The 19,901-nt window shown below is 40.7% G+C and overlaps 1 pseudogene across 2 annotated transcripts in view, besides 1 other annotated feature; it reads left to right on the top strand.

Moving 5' to 3' along the window:
* Positions 1 to 19,901, top strand: part of SULT6B2P (sulfotransferase family 6B member 2, pseudogene) — a 35,556-nt pseudogene that overhangs the window by 7,614 nt on the left and 8,041 nt on the right. The window contains exons 2-3 of one of the 2 annotated variants that reach the window (XR_001749042.2): positions 1,876 to 2,062; positions 3,220 to 3,300. The product of XR_001749042.2 is annotated as a sulfotransferase family 6B member 2, pseudogene, transcript variant X1 (transcript). Of the gene's footprint in view, positions 1 to 1,875; positions 2,063 to 3,219; positions 3,849 to 19,901 lie in introns of those variants that run through there. The other variant, XR_001749043.1, reaches the window with a different exon arrangement.
* Positions 10,998 to 11,057: a silencer, noted in NCBI's record as "silent region_4287". NCBI's record gives its function as "represses an Ori minimal core promoter by ATAC-STARR-seq in GM12878 lymphoblastoid cells {active_cell/tissue: GM12878}" and the evidence as "EXISTENCE:reporter gene assay evidence [ECO:0000049][PMID:35858748]".

Genomic DNA, 19,901 nt, shown 5'->3' with positions numbered 1-19,901 from the left:
ATTCATGAAGACATACAGACAATATATAATAAGCATAATAGCTATAACATTATAGAGTTCTCATCATGCTTTGTACAAGTAATAATGATAACTAAATAGTGTTTGTTCAATTCACACTTATTAATTGATGTATAAATAATTTTTTTCTTCTGGGTGAATACAAACCATATATATTTTTATTGTCAAAGTTTGTTCTTTCATATAGGTATATGCCCATGAAGGGAAAGAATAATTATTTTGAATAATATCATTTCAGAGAGAATCAAAATTATTTCTATGTTACTTTTGTTTTAGAGAAATGACCAAGTTATGTAATATCTTGTTTGCTATTTCCAGAAGAGCAGGCATAGGGGATGGGCATGTAACTGCTGGCATGAGTAACTAAGAGCCAAGCTCCCTTTGAGTTGATGTGCATTATAGTTCCTTTATCTGAGGACCAAGAGAACCTACCTAAGGGAAGATGCAGGGCTCACATTGGGCCAGATCTACCAGATGCTTTTTGAGAATAAATGTAAACCGTATAACTATGTTTGTTGATAAATATGAAAATGTTGTTGCAAATGGATATTAAATGATTGCCCTTAAAATACTTTAAGGTAAAGTTGAAACGTATTAGTGTGCTCTGTGAATAAATATATCTTACCTAAAATTGATCTGTTAGTTTAGAAAGTAACTTATGATACTTTAAATGTTCCTAGAGAAGGTGGCTAACTTATGCCATATGAAAGCAACCAATATAGGTTTTCACTGTATAATTTCACTGCCTATAATTTAACATCTTCTGCCATCTAAAGCATCAAGTACCAGGAGGTCCTCATTAATAGCACAAAGCCATGTATATTCTCTCTCCCTCATCAAAATAAATCAATATGTTTTGTTAGAATAATGCAGCTATCACTACTAGTCACATTTGTATGAATATTACAATTATAAATACTTAAGACTTATTAACGTAATTTAAAATAGTCTTAATATTAAAACATAACATGCAAATGAGGACCTTGTTTAAACTCTAAATATTTGTTTAACTGTAAGTTTGTTAATATTGTATCTCATTGAAAATACAATGAGATAAATGAAGGCTAGGCCTGATTTAAAGTCTTTGAGAACATTGCTTTCATATTAGTAAGACATCTGCCCTACTTCCTGCAAACTTCTATTTCCCTGCCCCAATTTACTGTTGTCTACCACACTGGAGCATATCCACCATTTGCTTCATGTAAATATAAAGTTGAATTCCTTCCAGGTTCCATGGTAGCAGGCTTGTACGTCAATGATGTTTGAATATAGCATACGTTCTTTGTTCAGATGCTTTTTAGCACAACTGCTATGTATCTACACACAAACAAAATCAAGAAACAATGGCTATCTTCAAGTGGAGAGTGGGAAGATAGGCAAGGACATGAGCTATGCAACTATCCTCTGGTGTGTGCTCCAGTGGAGAGAGGAGCTGGGTACACTGTGGGAAGACAAAGAGGCATGAGCAACTCTGCCCAGGGGTGGGGACTCAGGAGACAGTTTATACAAGAGGAAGATGCCTGAGCTTGCAGGACCAGTAGGAAACCTACATGGAAAGATCTGTGTGAACTTGTGATATGAAGGGCCTAGGGATGAGTCATAGCATAGAAGAGTATTTCAAGCTGAGGAAACAGCATGCGGTTTCCATACCTTTTCACACTCTTTAGAATGTGATTCTACCTATAAAATGAGTTAGCAGCTCAAGTGTTTCCGCAGGTTTTGACGGGTTTCAGGAGGTAATAATAACTACTTACAACAAAACTAATGTATGAATCACTTTTATAATATGCTAATTTTCTACATCCATTTTGTCAGGAGTGACATGTCATGAAAATTATGTTTTATTTTTGCATGAAGGCATTCACTGGGATGCAGACGTCATTGCGAACATTCCCAACACTAGACTTACTCTAACATCTCCTATTGAATTGGGAGACATTTCTAAATTTGAAGAGCTAAAATTGTATTCTAACAGAAGAATAATTCCAATGCCTTTGAGCTATGACATATGCCACCCAGGAATATTAAACAAATGGAATGCAAGGTAAGTTCTATGGGATAAAGACAGAGGTTTGTAGATCTGACAAAACCGGGCTTGGATGCTTGGTCTGTTACGCAGCTTGAAAGGCAGAGCAAATGCCATTTAAATTTTAATAATTTTATTTGTCATCCTTGCATGGGATTATATAGGAAAATAAATAAATAAATTGTAATAAAAATGCAAAGAATAGTTACCTCTAGCCATTTTAAAAATGAACGTTATTATTTTTATTTTTTATTTTTGAGGCAGGATCTCGCTCCTTCACCCAGGCTGGAGTGCAGTGGCACAATCTTGGCTCACTGTAACCTCTGCCTCCCGAGCTCAAGCAATTCTGCCACCGCAGCCTCCCAAGTAGCTGGGACCACAGGTGTGTGCCACCATGCCTGGCTAATATTTTGTATTTTTTTTTGTAGAGATGGGGTTTCACTGTGTTGCCCAGGCTGGTCTCAAAATCTTGGGCTCAAATGATCCTCCCACCTCAGCCTCTCAAAGTGCTGGGATTGCAGGTGTGAGCCACTGCATCTAGTTAAAGTGCACACATTATTATTTTAAAAGTGAATTGTAATTTAAAAGAATGCTTTCTATTTTCAAAACTTTCTTATTCAAATTTAAGTTTTCATGGAGAAATGCACATGGGTTAAGGTTAAGTAGAAACTATGTTTTTAAATTCATACATATAAAATAATTTCAATTTAGTTAAAATATACACATACATGCATAAAAAAAGAGTAGATATAAATATATCAATGTGCCAAGTGACTTTCTACAGTATGGCATTAGCGTTGAATTTTATTTTCTTTAGAGATATATGTATGAGGAATATTTTAAAATTCTATTTTGATGAGGAAAAAAAGAATATTTGAAAAGCAAAATCAGGATACATTGCAAATTCCCAGTAATAAAGCCTCTTCAAACGATGTCAGCCATGTTCTAAACATAAAAACAGAAACAATCTACCAGTCATATATGTAACTGATTGTAACTCTGTGACCACAGTGCCTCTGCCCACACCATCTACTCTTGTGCCCCAAAGAAAGTAAACACAATCAACCAGAGGCGAAATGTCAGAGAGTTTGCCTTTGTCCCCAGTGAATCTGTCAGAACAGGGAAGATGTATTAACTGGATTACAGTTTCATTGAATAAATCATTTTCGTTTCAGCAGATGATTTCTCAGATGGGTGGGAAGGAGGGAGAGAGAGAGACAGAGAAGAGAGAGAGATTTGAGGAGAAAAGAAGTCCGGTAAGCTAAGAAACACTTAGGGTAATGCAATAACATTGAAAACAAATGACTGCCAGAAAGTAAGCTATGTGTTTTGTATACATTACAACAATGACAAGTGTATGTATTTCTCCTTTTATGAGTAAAGAAACTGAAGCTCAGAAGGATTGGAGTACTTTTAAACTATCACAGTGAAAGAAGGTACAGCCTTAAGATACAGTACTTTCAGTGTGTCCCATACTGGGAACTGAGACCTTCCAGTTCTCTCTCCTGAGAAGATAACCTGCCCACTGTTACTGATGGCTTGGTCCCTGAGAGCTCCCAAATTGGACAAGCTTCTTTTGCCCTAAAACGGCCTGTCAAATAGGAGCTTCCTCCCCTAGTCTTTCCCTCCCAGCTCTCAACCCTACTTTGCCTTCTATATTTTCTTCCTAATCCTTGTTTTTCCTTTTTTATGTTTCTAAACTCTCTGATGTGAAAGGTATGCTTCCCAGCACATTTCATAATGTTTTGTTTAATATTTGATCCCCTGTCACTTCCAGAGTCCTGTTCCACCTTCCCTGTATGTCCCCCAACCTCCTCCAATAATTCTTCTGATTTCATAGAATACAGTCTTTGGCAAAATAGGCATTAATGGGTTGCATTGTCTTTCCCAGAAGATAATAGACATGTAACTTTAGGTGTTCTCCAAAAGCCCTAAAATCTCTCTTCTTTGTCAAAACAAATACGTCCAACTAAATGGATGAGGCTTAAAGTTCTGCCATTTTATTCCTTTTTATTAAGAAGTAGATTTTTTAAATTGTGCTCCCTGAGCCTTGGGGTTCTGTGAATCTGCTGAGAAAATCTAGAGCAGTTAGAGAAAGCATGACATGTTGGCTTACTCCACAATTCCTTCCTGGGATAAAGAGAGGATATTGTGGTATTGGAGATGAGTGAGGGGGTCGGTGACTATTTATTCTTGTACACAGTGGCCTTTATACATCTCTCAATTAAAAATAAGCAGGTGCTATTCATGTGGACTCACACAATACCTGGACTGTAATTGAAACTACCTTTAGAAAATTATTACAGCAAGACAAATCTGACACAGTTGACTCCATGTTGCTTCTAACCTCTAAGCTGTCTTTGGTCATTTCTGGGTGTAGACCAAGTTGACTTTGGCAGAAATGTAGTTTATACTTTAACCTTAAAGCAAGGATAAAAATAGCCCTTCCCAAAACTAAACCACCTTTGTAAAACTAATGTAACACCATGATATGGTTTGGCTGTGTCCCCACCCAAATCTCATCTTGAATTGTAACTTCCACAATCCCTACATGCCATGGGAGGAACTTGGTGGGAGGTAACTGAATCACAGGGGCAGATCTTTCTCATGCTATTCTCGTAACACTTAATAAGTCTCATGAGATCTAATGGTTTTAAAAATGGGAGTTTCCCTGCACAAGCTCTCTCTCTTTGCCTGCTGCCATCCACATAAGATGTCACTTGCTCCTCCTTGCCTTCTGCCATGATTGTGAGGCCTCCCTAGCTGTGTGGAACTGTAAGTCCATTAAACCTCTTTCTTTTGTAAATTGGCCAGTCTCTGGTATGTCTTTATCAGCAGCATGAAAATGGACTAATACACACCACAATGTTAGGATTATGAGAGGGTCCTAAATTCTGATAAGGTGTAGGTATAGTTTCTATAATCCCTTACTGCTCAGGAGTCATGTGGCCAAATGTCATAAGATTTGTGTCTTCCCCAATTACTCCTATAAATAACATCACTATTATAGAACCTAAGATTGGATTTTTGAGATATTTTTCAGGCTGACCCCACCCAGACTCTTAACTCATGACTCAACTGATCCCGTGGTCCCACCCAGAGGTGGACTTAGTGCACAAGGACTGTTTTCCACACTCCTATGATTCCATCTGTAACCAATCAATATTCCCCATTCCCTAGTCCCCTGCTCACCAAACTTCCTGGAAAACTCCTAGCCTTTGAGCCTTTGAGATTGATTTGAGGCTGGTCTCACATCAATTAAACTATTTCTCTACTGCAATGCCATGGTCTCAGTCAATTGATTTTGTCTGTGCAGCAAGGAGAAAGAACCCATCAGGTGATGATATAAACATGACACCGAAAGAGAGTTATGTATTAAAAGTGACTCAGCAAATGCTTTCTTACCTAAGTAAAATGTGCCTGTTCTGATTGTCAATTAAAAACCAAGTAGAGCATGCAATGTTGAGCATCACTGAAAATATTACTATCACATCCACCTTCTAATACTGTGTTTAATCATCAGCTGAAGCTGCCCAAAACAACTGTGACTTACACAGGTGAATTTAAATGCTACTTCCTTATAGAAATGTTTTGTACTGGGGTTATTTCCATCCAAGAATAAATGAATCTAACAGATTTTCTACATCATTAGGAATCCAAAAGACACAGCTCTTTCTTTATGCCACTACTATAGAGATAACCCTAATCTCACCTGCATTAAAACATGGGCTACAATTTTAGAGCCATTCCTAAGAGGAAATAGTAAATATAACAATAATTTTTATTTTTAATTTACATGAACTTTATCACTCAAAATGTAAGCATTTTCCAAAAGTTTAAGTGGATCATAACCATTTTTAGAAATACACTGAATATATTATTCTTATATTCTTTCTAAGCAAATTCTTTTTCAGTTTGCTTCTTCACAGTTGTGTTAATCCGTTTTCACACTGCTATAAAGACATAACCAAGACTGGGAAGAAAAATAGGTTTAATGGACTCACAGTTTCACGTGGCTGGGAAGGCCTCACAATAATGGCAGAAGTGAAAGGCACTTCTTACTTGGTGGCAGCAAGAGAGAATAAGAGCCAAGCAAGAGGGGTTTCCCCTTATAAAACCATCAGATTTCATGAGACTTACTCACTGTCATGAGAACAGCATGGGGGAAACTGCCCCTATGATTCAAATTATCTCCCACTGGGTCCCTCCCACAACACATGGGAATTATGGGAACTACAATTCAAGATGAGATTTGGATGAGGACACAGCCAACTCATATTATTCCCTGGCCCCTCCCAAATCTCATATTCTCACATTTCAAAACCAATCATGCCTTCCCAACAGTCCCCCAAAGTCTTAACTTATTTCAGCATTAACTCAAAAGTCCACAATCCAAAGTCTCACCTGAGACAAGGCAAGTCCCTTTCACCTATGAGCCTGTAAAATCAAAAGCAAGTTATTCACTTCGTAGATACAATGGGTATACAGGCATTGGGTAATACAGCTGTTCCAAATGGGAGAAATTGGCCAAAACAAAGGGGCTACCAGCCCCATGCAAGTCCAAAATCTAGTGGGGCAGTCAAATCTTAAAGCTCCAAAATAATCTCCTTTGACTCCATGTCTCACATCCAGGTCATGCTGATGCAAGAGGTAGGTTCCCATGGTCTTGGGCAGCTCCACTCCTGTGGCTTTGCAGAGTACAGCTCCCCTCCAGGGTGTGTTCACAGGCTGGCATTGAGTATCTATGGCTTTTCCAGGTGCATGGTGCAAGCTGTCGGTGGATCTACCATTCTAGGGTCTGGAGGATGGTGGCCCTATTCTCACAGTTCCACTGGGTGGCACCCCAGTAGGGACTCTGTGTGAGGGCTCCAACCCCACATTTCCCTTCCCCACTGCCCTAGTTCTCCACGAGGGCCCCGCACCTGCAGCAAACTTCTGTCTGGGCATCTGGACGTTTCCATACATCCTCTGAAATCTAGGCAGAGGTTCCCAAATCCCAGTTCTTGACTTCTGTGCACTCACAGGCTCAACACCATATGGAAGCTGCCAAGGCTTGGGGCTTGCACTCTCTGAAGCCATGGCTTGAGCCCTATGTTGACCCCTTTCAGCCACAGGAGTGCCTGGGAGGCAGGGGACCAAGTCCCTAGGCTGCACACAGCACGGGGACCCTGGGCTCAGCCCACAAGACCATTTTTCCTCCTAAGCCTCTGGGCCTGTGATGGGAGGGGCTGCCGTGAAGATAGCCCAAATGTCAAGTTCCTCATCTCCATCTGAGTCTATCTCAGCCTGCACTTTATTGTCCATATCACTATCAGCATTTTGGACAAAGCCATTCAATAAGTCTCTAGGAAGTTCCAAACTTTCTGACATTTTTCTGTCTTCTTCCAAACCCTCCAAACTGTACCAACCTCTTCCTGTTACCCAGTTCCAAAGTTGCTTCCACATTTGTGTGTATTTTTCCAGCAGTGCCCCACTCTACTGGTATCAGTTTACTGTATTAGTTTATTTTCATGCTGCTAATAAAGACATATAAGCCAAGTGAGAGGGGTTTCCCCTTATAAAACCATCAGATCTTGTGAGACTTATTCACTACCATGAGAATATTATGGGGGAAATCCACCCCCCTGATTCAATTATCTCCCACTGGGTCCTCTCACAACACTTGGGAATTATGGGAGCTACAATTCCCATAATTGTATGGGACACAGCCAAACCATATCAACAATCTTTCTTATAACATGTGGGTAGCACATATTAGTGATTACTTATTGAGCTAGTGTGTTCAAAACAGAGATTAATTCTGTACAAGCACCTTTTGTTTTCATATACCACCAACCTTTTTAGTGAAATAATTATGCACTGATTGAAGTGCATAGACATATAGCTGAAACCTGAAGAGGTAGTCTGAAATGTGCCTTATATATATACCTGCCTAGAAAATAAAACAACACAAATAAAAAAATACATACACTCACACAAGTAAGTTCCTCAAACAAACAGTGAGAGAATTGGTTTTATAAAAACTAATGAAGGCCAGGTGCAGTAGCTCACACCTGTAATCCCAACACTTTGGGAGGCCATTGCAGATGGATCACGTGAGCCCAGGAGTTTGAGGTCAGGTTGGGCAACATGGAGAAAACCTGTCTCCATTATTTAAAAATGTATTTATTTAAAAAAAAAACTAACGGAAAGTAATTTATCCTGAAAACATCACAATGAAATGTGATTTGATTAAGCTGTACAGCACACATTGGTCCTGCCACTGTGCACAACCATTGACCCCAACCCTTTCTCCTTGACTCATTGGTGTCTGAAGCACTTAAAAAAACTATTCTGAATTCCCAAGGCTTTCACTGAACAAAAATAAATATACCAAGATGATACAGAATTTTGAAAACAAATCATTTAGGAATGCTGCACACCCAAAGAATCCTGTCTCTTATTGGACTTAGAGTAGATCTTTTTAATTGTTATATATTGTTATTTTGCTTGAAAATTGTTATACTTTTATATTTTCATTTCAGGAAAGTCACAGCAAGTGTAGCTTTAACATAAGGACATTGGTAACTCACCAGCAAATAGGTTTGCTATTCCCTATAGAAGAATATGCAATGCTCACACTATTTGAACTCCTGTTTTTCATCATCTATTTTCTTCTTTAACTAATGGCACACACTTAGTGGAATCATAAAGTTTCAGGAAGGACAGGTACCTTAATGTTTATCTGGTCAAAACATCCACCCAATGTTTGAATTACCCTTACAAAGCAACACATTCTATGTGGGAACTGCTGAGATGTTTAAAAAAAAATCTCTTGGCCAGGCACGGTGCCTCACCCCTGTAATCCCAGCACTTTGGGAGGCCGAGGCAGGTGGATCACCTGAGGTCAGGAGTTTGAGACCAGCCTGGCCAATATGGTGAAACCCTGTCTCAACTAAAAATATAAAAATTAGCTGCGTGTGGTGGTGCATGCCTGTAATTCCAGCTACTCTGGAGGCTGAGGCAGGAGAATCACTTGAACCCAGGGGCAGATGTTGCAGTGAGCCGAGATTGTGCCACTGCACTCCAGCCTGGGCCACAGAATGAGATTCCATCTAGAAAAAAAAAAATTAGCCAGGCTTGGTGGCATACACCTGAAATCCCAGCTACTCAGGAGGCTGAGGCAGGAGGATCACTTGAACCTGGGAGATGGACGTTGCAGTGAGTCGAGATCATGCCACTGCACTCCAGCCTGGGTGACAGAGTGAGACTCCAACTCAAAAAAAAAAAATCTTAACAATTTACTGTTTGCTAACCATGTGCTACAGACACTTATCTAAGTGTCATGCTAACATTATCTCATGTCTTCCTTATTAGAACACTATGAAGTAGATGTCCTTATCCTTATTTTACAGAGGAGGAAAATGCAAACCTTTGGAGGCCAAATAACTTGTCCACAGATGTGTAACTAATAAGGAAAACAGTCAAGATATAAATTCAAGTAGCAGCTCGAAAATCTTTGCCCTTACCACAGTGTCATAATTTGTCCTAAAACAAAACAAAACAAAACAAAAAACCAGTCCTCCTCGTTATTAATTCCTCCTCCACATGAAAGGCTTCTAAATATTTGAAGATAGTTTGCATGCCTCACTCCACCTCAATTCCATTTTTGGAGTAAGCAGTGCTGAAATACATATATTTAAAAAAAAAAGATTGGGTCTGCTTTTCCTCAAGAAAAGAAATACTGTTTTTGTCTACTGTCATTACACACTGTGGTTCACCACCTCTCTCTCCTGGCTGCATGAGCTCTGATTTGGCCACATCTCTATTATAGTGCAGTGCTTAGAAGGAAACGCACACCATAGATATGGTCTGACTAGGGCAGGGTAGAGCAGACCTAGCACTGCTTCTGTTCTAGAGATTATTTTTCTGTGACTGCAGCTACAAAAATGCCAGCCCAGACCAGAACTCAGTGAAGCTCACTGGCTTTCAGGGAACATCTGTCTTTGTTGTCACCACGTTAATCAGGACTCATAGCAGAATATCTAGGAGGGGCAGAGTGTGGTTGGAAAAATATTCCACATGATTCTTTTACACCTTCTTAGGTGTGAAGAGATTTTACTTGTAAGTATTCTACATCAGGATGTTCCAGCCTGTGCAAACCCTGTCACCACCAGGAATAGTCACTGAATCACTAGAGCTTTTAAAAGAAATCTGTATGAATGGAAGCAGTAGCTTCACTTTTCTTTACTTATAATGATATGGGGGGGGCGTTAGGGAAGTGCTGGGTAGAGAAGGGTGGGATCCCTGGCGAGGGCTTCACCCTCGGGCATGTGCCTGCGGACCTAAGTGAGAATGAGCACTCCTGTTTTCACACCTGAGTATTGCATTTTCCAAGACGACTCTGGTCCACCATGCCCCCATCCTGCGCCCATATATTCCTGAGATTTTAGCAGGCACACACACAAGTGGCTGAATGTCGAGACCAGCAGACCAGAGATGGTGGAATGACACACAGCAGAGAAAGAAGGAAGATGGGGGATGTCTGGAAGCTGAGGGGAGTTTGGCGGGGAGTGGTCAGAGAAGAATTCGGCCGCTGGGCAGCCCAACTCCAGGGGAATACCATCTTCCCACTCCACCCCCACTTCTAGCTCTCCATCCATCTCAATGAGAGCCACCTCTACCACTCGATAAAACCTTGAACTCATCCTTTGAGCCCACGTGTGATCTGATCCTTCCAGGATACTGGGCAAGAGCTTAGAGTCCAGAAGGCTCTCACACTGGCCCTCTGCCCTTGCAATAAGGAAGAGGGTCGATTGAGCTGATTAACACACAAGCCATCTGCAGGTGGCAAATTTGAAAGACCTTTGTAACACACGCCCACTTGGGCTTTGGGAGTCACGGACACCCACCCCTAGATGCTGCTGTGGGGCCAGAGCCCAAAAGTGCACAGGTGGCCTCTGCACCTGCCCATCTGCATGCTCCCCCTAGCGGTTTGAGCTTTGGGGTGACCAAGCAGATGAGCCACACCCTGGCACATGTCCTGTGAGGGGAACTGGGGAACTCTCCCATTTCAATAAGATAGGGCTGTTTGTCTTTCTGAGTGTATGCATGTATGGATGTATTATATGTATGTGACTGTGTTTCAGGGATGTTCTTCAATGACTTTCCTTTATTTTTCTTTTGGTTTTGAGACAGGGTTTCCCTCTGTCACCCGGGCTGGAGTGCAGTGGTGCGACCACAGCTCACCACACCCTTGATCTCCTGGCCCCAAGCAATCCTCCCACCTCAACCTCCTGAGTAGCTGGGACTACAGGTGCACAGCAACATGTCCAGATAATTTTTGTATTTTTTATACAGATGGGGTTTCTCCATATGGCTCAGGCTGGTCTTGAACTCCTGAGCTCAAGCAATCCACCTGCCTCAGCCTCTCAAAGTGCTGGGATTATAGGCATGAGCCACTGCACCTGGCCTTCAATGGCTTTTTGAGGGGAGGCTTATTCTCTTGCAAATGAAAACATAATGTAGTAGAAAGAAAAGGCTATGGACGTAGAAGACTTGGCATCAAGTTCTGACTATAATTTATTCCCTGTATGACTTTGGATGAGCAGAGTAACCATTCTGAGTTCTACATTTCTAATATAAAATAAGACCAATAAATCTATTCTGTAGGATTATTTAGAGATTCAAATTAAGTAATGGCTGAAATATGCTATAGAAATCTACTCATTATTCTACTAGACACAGAAGACTTTTAAGTAGTTTTATATCAACGTGAAAATACTGCAAGTAGGTATTTTTCTAAAGAGATTGTTTTACAACTGAGGCATCATGATATTCTGTATTCATCTTCAAATGTAGTCATAGACATGAGTTATATGACAAGACAGTATAATAAAGAGACAGCAGGTTGGGCACGGTGGCTCACTCCTGTAATCCCAGCGCTTTGGGAGGCCGAGGCTAATGAAACACCTGAGGTCAGGAGTTTGAGACCAGCATGGCCAACATGGCAAAATCCCGTCTCTACTAAAAAAAAAACAAAAATTAGCTGGGCGTGGTGGCATGTGCCTGTAATCCCAGCTGCTTGGGAGTCTGAGGCAGGAGAATCACTTGAACCCAGGAGGCGGAGGTTGCAGTGAGCTGAGATTGCACCACTGCACTCCAGCCTGGGTGACAGAGCAAGGCTCTGTCTTAAAAAAAAAAAAAAGACAGCTACATTTATCTAATCTTGTAATTTACCTTTTAGATAGTATATAAATATGCTTTATTTTTTCAAGTTAAACAATAACTGTAAATTGTGTTCTAGTAATATTTTGATAGGTTAGTATTTTGATGAAATTAATATATTAGCATTTTTTTTCCTTGTAGCTCTATCTCCAGTCTTACATTATTACTCTATATTTCCTAGGCCAATTCATCCTAGAGAATTTATATTTTCTGTACGATTATCTTATCCTCAAAGTACTTTCTAGAAATTCAAGACTAAGATGCTCATTATAATGAGATATAAGTGTGGGGCAGAAGGTTTGCAGAAAGTGTGGAAGGTTTGAAATAGCTGATGTAAAGAATAGAATGTGTTAATGTAGGATAAGTAGGTTTGGTAGGTGGCCTTGGTGTGAATAGAGTTGTGTAAATTTCTCCAGCAGCACTCTGTAGCAATGGAGAGAAGAAAAGATGGTAAAGTGTTTTGATTCAATACTGGGCACATTTTTAGGTGACTGAAATAAGCAATAAGGGGCAAGGAAGTTGAAGGTTTTGGAAAGAAAACTGTTGAGAGGATGAACAAGGGAAAGAAAGTGAAGATAGAAAGGGACAAAAGTGGTCAGAGTAGGGATTGTAGAAACTATTTATTAAAGTCACTCCAGCTGATGGTGAGACTTGAGATGACACAGAAAATGTTCTAAAGTCAGAATCTTCTGTGAATGTAGGGGAGAGACCAGGAGGTCAACTTATGGCTGAAATATTGAAGGAAAGAGTGGCAGATTCCCATGACTCTCAAAGAAGCCTGGTTTCTATAGGAGGAGGGAGTTCTGGAAGTTTCTAGGAAGCAGTGAGATTGTTGACTCACTCTTCAGACCCTAAGACATAGGTTGGGTGAGAGTGAGCAACCTCTATTCAGGGGCACACAGGGGAAGGAGCCATTTGGACCACAGAGAAAGGGCAGTCCAGGTATATGTTAAGGCCAAGAGGTGGTAGGATAATTCTGTAATTAACCAAAGAAAAGTATTTCCTGGAAAAAGATTTCAAATCTCTATTTTGGAAGCTACATTTTCTTTAAAGCCACAGATCTATTAATAACCTGCACAATGAGGATTCTGATTTAAAAATTAACTAAAATGCTTTCTTAAAAATTCTAACTTTTGGCAGGGTGTGGTGGCTCACGCCTGTAATCTCAGCATTCGGGAGGCCTGGGCAGGTGGACTGCTTGAGCCCAAGAGTTCGAGACCAGCTTGGCCAACATGGTGAAACCCTGTCTCTACCAAAAATACAAAAATTAGCCAGACGTGGTGGCGTGCACCTGTGATCTCAGCTACTCAGGAGGCTGAGGCACAAGAATAGCTTGAACCTGGGAGGCGGAGGTTGCAGTGAGCAGAGATTGCACCATTGAACTCCAGTCTGGGTGACAAAATGAGACTCAAAAAGGTTAAAAATAAAAAAATAAAATATTAAGTTTTTTAAAAAAGGCTTTAAATATATTAATACATTCACTTTCCTATAGTAGTAAGAAAGACACAGGCAGCCAATTCTTTGCATTCTTTTGGCTGACTTAAGTCTTTTTGGAACAAGGTGGGGTATAAATTAATTAGTAACAGAACAGCTTGTTGTCAAATTGCAATCAGGCGATGCTCCAAAAGTTCTTTTTTAAATCTATTTTGAGGCATGTTGCAATATATTTTCAACTGAAAAAACATAATGGGCAGAGTCAATTACACCTGACCTTGGAGTGTGACACTGAGTCTCTAACCCTGCACAGCCTCCTGGGCACGAGAGCTTGAGCTTCACTGACAGTCTCAAGGGCTTCTGCAACCTCAGCAACCCTGGGCAGTGACATCATCCAGGAGGCCTGGGCTGTGGCTGTTGGTGCGAGGTGGGGAGGCAGGTAATATTTTTGAACATTGTTTGGGTGCTAGGGACTAGTTAATTTCCCAAATGTGCATCAGAGATCAGTTTTTCTATCATCCAGTTTTTGTGTCTGGGGAAAGATTGGCTATTCTTAGAGGGCAAACCCCTTATCGCTGACATGGTAATTTGAGTAATTCTAAGATAATGTTTTTTGTAAGTCATTGGAATAGCCTGAGATTGCTAATAGCTAAAGACTGTATCAGGACAGCTTTTTCTAAGCACCAATTCTTATTACATATATAACCTTGTGGGTCCCAGGGACAGAAAATGGTACTGATTTTTTAATGACACTACAGTCATCCTGGAAATTCTTGTTCTAAAAATACATTATGGTTATTTTCTTGCCTTTAATTTCCTCAAGAACTGAAGCCATGAAAAACTGCATTTAGTTTGGAGTTAATTATACTTCAATTTAATCAAAGCTTTAATGTTCAGAATGTCTAGCACAATGTCTGGCAGACACTAATGGCTTTAATAAATGTTTATTCAATGAATCAAAAGTCAGCAGATCTTCAGGAAATCACTAGCACAGTAGCTCTTTTATGCTTGGGCATTAGCTAGAATTTAAACTTTGGATGATGAGTGCACGGAATGATGGATTATAGTACTTTCAATTACTATGTTTTGTGCTTGAGATTTTCATACTATTTGGCTTCTTGTAAGGACAAGAAGTTGCTCACATTTTGTTTTTAATCATCACTGCTGAAGAGATTATTTTGCACGACAATATTTTACTTTTAAGCCCTAGAGGTTTTTTAAGGCTGTCCTTTACCAACAAGAAAGAGATAAAATCAGCTACAGATAAATCCCTAGGACTGTATTTTTCAGCCTTGAACTGAGATAAGTGAATAGAATCTTTTATTTGAAGTCTGTAAACTTTTTGTGGTGAGCCTACAATTATGAAAAGCACGTCACTTTCAGAAAGAAAATGATAAATTCTCAATGTTTGTCTATTTCTCTCAAAAACCAAAGCAGTAATCAGAACACAGTTATTAGGAAAAATGTGTAGCTCTGTATTTCTGTTGCCACTTTTGCTTACAATAAGATAATATTAACTAGAAATAGAAAAAAAACACTAATAGGCTTAATAAAAGATATGGCCATCTGGTTTCATATCACAACATTGTATTTAGTTGAAACAATAGTGAAATTGAGCTCTTCTAAGGAAACTGTCTCACTTTGCGCTGAAGTGGGAAGAACTCAGGGATGCAAACCCATAATGTTTAATATGAACAATTCACTTTTCTTCCAGTTGTATATGGATCCTGGTTTGATCATATTTAAGGGAAGAGTACAAGAGTGACAAAAAAATTATATTTCATGAAGAAATGAAAAAAAGTAAGTCCTTCCCAATGTTCCAACAACCAAAATTTAAATCAAATTAAGTTAAAACACAAAATTTGTCAATGAATTTAGGTTTCAGGGAATTAATTTGGCATTTTGACAAGAGTTGCCCTTACTGTTTTAATTCAATTATTGCTCAGGATCTTTCTGAAAGCATAAAGAAAATAACTACTTTCCTCAGTATAAACGTGAAATTAATAAAATTGCTTAGAAAATATCATTCAGTGAAATGAGAAATGACGCAGCCAAAGAAAATTGTGATCCAAATCATACCATCTGTGCCTCACATCTAGCAGGAACCTGGTATTTAGGAAAGGTAAGCCAGAAAGCCATGTGGTGCTTTGTCTGCAGCCTATATTTGGAAGCAGTTCTGATATGGACAGGAGACAGGGAGATACTGGGTAGAAGAGGGTGGTTCCCTGGCAAACGCCCCATCCTCAAGCTTGAAGATCTGCAGCCCTAAGTGAGAACAGGCATTGTTGTTTTCGTGCCCAAAAAGTTGCCTTTTAGCCCACCATGCCCCCACTATCCTGTACCCATATAAACCCCAAGGCTCCAGAAGCAGACGAGGAGACAAGGAGACAAGCAGGCAAGCAGATGGATAGCAGAACGGCATGGCAGAGAAAGGGAGAAGAGAAGGAATGTCTGAAGGCAAAGAGGAATTCGGCTGGGGACAGTCGGAGGGGAGTTCGGCAGCTGGATGGCCAAACTCCAGGGGAAGATCATTTTCCCACTCCATCCCCCTGCCAACTCGTCATCCATCCCGCTGAGCAACCTCCACCACTCAATAAAACCTCACATTCATCCTTCAAGCCCGTGTATTACCCGATTCTTCCGGGATGCTGGGCAAGAGCTCGGGATACAGAAAACTGTCACACTAGCCCCCCACCCTTGTGAAAAGACAGAGGGTCCACTGGGCTGGTTAAAACTTAAGCCATCTACGGATGGCAGAGCTAAAAGAGCATTGTAACACTGGGGCTGCAGGCACCCACCCTTAGACACTACCATGGGGCTGGAGCCCACAGCACTTGCCTTGGCTTCTGCACCTGCCTATCTATGTGTTCTCTCTCCTATTGGAGGTTTGAGCAGCAGAGGCAACTGAACAAGCAAGCCACACCCCTGCTGCATGTCCTGCAAAGGGGATAAGGGAACTCTCCCATTTCAGTTCCAGAGTTTTGCCCTTTTTAATTTCTCGTTTCATCTTCATACACCCCATATCTTGTGCAATGGATTCCACATTGTCACCCTTCAGTGAATGTTTATTAAACGAAATTCTTGAGTTGCATTCTTTCCAGAGTTGAGATTTCTATGCCCAGTTAGAAACCAATTGAGAGGGAGGCACAGGAGTCAAAAAGTTGGAAATGATAAAGCTATTGAATTCTATGCCTCAAGTCTGCAGCCTAGTGTGTTTGCTTATCGTTTACCCTGAATTTTACAAACATATCCACTTAGTTACAGTCAATTGAATGCAGGCCTTTCTCCCACTGGGGCCAGTCACCAGACTGTGGTAGGGAGCCCTATAAGACACTTGTTTTTCAGGAGACAGAAGGGAGCTGAGGGAGTATGAATGGTACATTTCTCTCAACTCACCAACCTGCAAAATTACCCTCCAGAAATAAGTAGAGGTTAGGAGAAAAGCTGGGATTGCTATCTAGGGAAGTTCCTCACATGAAAACACAAAGAGAAGGAAATAAATCGTTCTCACTAATTCCTGAGGTTTAACTAATTCCTGAGATTACACTAATTACCACGCCTGTAATCTCAGCACTTTGGGAGGCTAAGGTGGGCGGATCACCTGAGGTCAGGAGTTCAAGACCTGCCTGGCCAACATGGCAAAATCCTGTCTCTACTAAAAATACAAAAAAATTAGCCGGGCATGGGGGCAGATGCTTGTAATCCCAGCTATTCGGGAGGCTGAGGCAGGAGAATGGCGTGAACCCGGGAGGCGGAGCTTGCAGTGAGCCGAGATCGCGCCACTGCACTCCAGCCTGGGCGACAGAGCAAGACTCCGTCTCAAAAAAAAAAAAAAAAAAAAAAAAAAAAAGATGTTGTTGTAATAGTTTTGGGTGGGAAACATCGAGGGTCATAATTAGAGCAGTGACAGTGGAATCACTGTTGGGTGGAGCTCAGCTGAAAAGTGAGTTTAGGAGCCATCAGCTTGTCGTGGAATTAGGTAAAATTGTCAAGGCAAGTGGGAAGAGCTAGTGAAGAATGTGATAGAAGATGGAGTGCTGGAGACCCTAACGTCAATGGGAATGAAACAGTCCAAGAAAAGCTTCAAGAAGAAAAGATCAGCCAGAATTAGGAGGAAAACCAGGATCACATATGGCTATTGGTTTATCATTCCTGAATTCTGAGAGCACAGCATCTACAGCAATAGAGATGGAAGCCACGTTGAGGAGTTTGAAGAGATGAGATGTGAAGAGGGGAGCAGCAATAAGGACTGCTCTTCCAAGTAGTTGTTTCTTTATTTGTTTTTATGGCAGAGTGGAGTTTTATTATTACTCAAATCAGTCTCCCTGAAAATTTGGGAATTAAAGTTTTAAAGATAATTTGGTGGGTTGGGGGAAAGCCAGTGAGTCGAGAGTGCTGAATGGATGCATCTTGCAATATTGCTCTTAACAATGAAAACCTAGAATGCACTTAAATGACCATTAATCAAAAACTGTTAAGACACAACCATATAGGGACTCAGTATGAAGTCATGAAAATTGGGTCAGAGATGAAATCATAGGGAATTGAATCTGTCCTCTTGCACTGAGTCAGTTCCTGGGTGGGGGGCACAAGATCAGATGAGCCAGTTATCGATCTGGGTGGTGCCAGCTGACCCGTCAATGCAGCGTCTGCATAATATCTCAAGTACTGACCTTAGGAGCAGTTTAGGAAGGGTCAGAATATTGTAGCCTCCAGCTGCATGACCCCTAAAACATAATTTCCAATCTTATAGGTAATTTGTTAGTCCTACAAAGGCAGTCTAGTCTCCAAGCAAGAAGGAGGTCTGTTTTGGGAAAGGGCTGTTACTGTCTTTGTTTTAAACCATAAACTAAGTTATTCCCCAAATTTGTTCAGCCTACACCCAGGAATGAACAAAGACAGCTTGGAGGTTAGAAGCAAGATGGAGCTGGTTAGGTCAGATCTCTTTCACAGTCTCAGTTATAATTTTGCAATGGCACTCTTTCAAGAAGTTTGAGAGTAGACGATGGGGACAAGACGACGTGGGAGCTCGAGAGAGAGAGAGAGAGGCAGGGTCAAGGCAAAGATTAGGAGTGGTTGGGGAGAGAAGATGAAGGGAAGACAGACTTTAGAAAAGAACACGTGAAGGAAGGCAAAATAAGCAAAGGGGAGATAAAGAGATTGGGAGGGACCCTGGTAAAGAGGACAGTGAGAAATGAAGAAGTTCTGATGCTCAGTGGTGTTTGGTGTCACTGTTGACACCAGTTATCACTGCTCTTTGAGATTTGGATGAGCAAAATAATTGTGATTCACGCATCGTATCCTACAAACTTGGGTAATTTTACTCTAATAGGAAGAGAGTTAATCTCTGGCCTGCCGCACTAGTAACCCTGGTAAATATCCTCAGGTGAAATCATATCGACATGATTGTAGCTGGTGACTTTAGTTCTAATGCATTGAAATTCTATCTAATAAGTGTTTTTCTTGTGCTGGATCTAATCACAGAAGGTTACAAGTGGAAACACCCTCACTGACAGTTATCACCTGAGCACCTGTTGCAGAATTAAACACAAGGATGAACCAATAAAGCCCATTTGCTTCACTCTTTTCATTGATTGATTGGATGGGGTGGGAGTTAGGGACCTATCATGTGAGAATAATTATTTCAAATAAATTACTGAAGTCATTGATTCAGACTCCTTCGCTCACAGAGATACTCCACACTTTACGAAGAATTTATGCTTGTGGTTCTCTTATTTTTTATTTTTTATTTTTATGGGGGTCTCACTATGTTGCCCAGGCTGGACTTGAACTTCTGGCATCAAGTGATCCTCCTGCCTTGGCCTCCCAAAGTGCTGGGATTACAGGCATGCCTGCAGTTCTCTTTACTCTGATGTCAGAAATAGAGCTGATATTCAATAAAGTCGGTTGGGAGCAGTGGCTCACGACTGTAATTCTAGCACTTTGGGAGGCTGAGATGGAAGGATTGCTTGAGGTCAGGAATTCAAGACCAGCCTGGGCAACATAGTGAGACCTAATCTCTACAAAAATAAAAAGTAAGTAATTAAACACTTTTTTTTAAAAGAAAGCGATTATAGTCGTCATGGAGATAAGGTGAGAGGTGAGAACACAGGTGTCACAAGTTTCAGGTCCCATACATATTAAAAATCAGGGGAAGAATTACAGGTGGATGGAAGGACATAAGGACTGGATGCATCTTGCAATATTGCTTATAACA

This window comes from Homo sapiens, chromosome 12, assembly GCF_000001405.40.
Source record: "Homo sapiens chromosome 12, GRCh38.p14 Primary Assembly".
Lineage (NCBI taxonomy): Eukaryota > Metazoa > Chordata > Mammalia > Primates > Hominidae > Homo > Homo sapiens.
The sequence above is the reverse complement of the archived record's forward strand: the minus strand, read 5'-3'. Positions and strand labels throughout refer to the sequence as shown.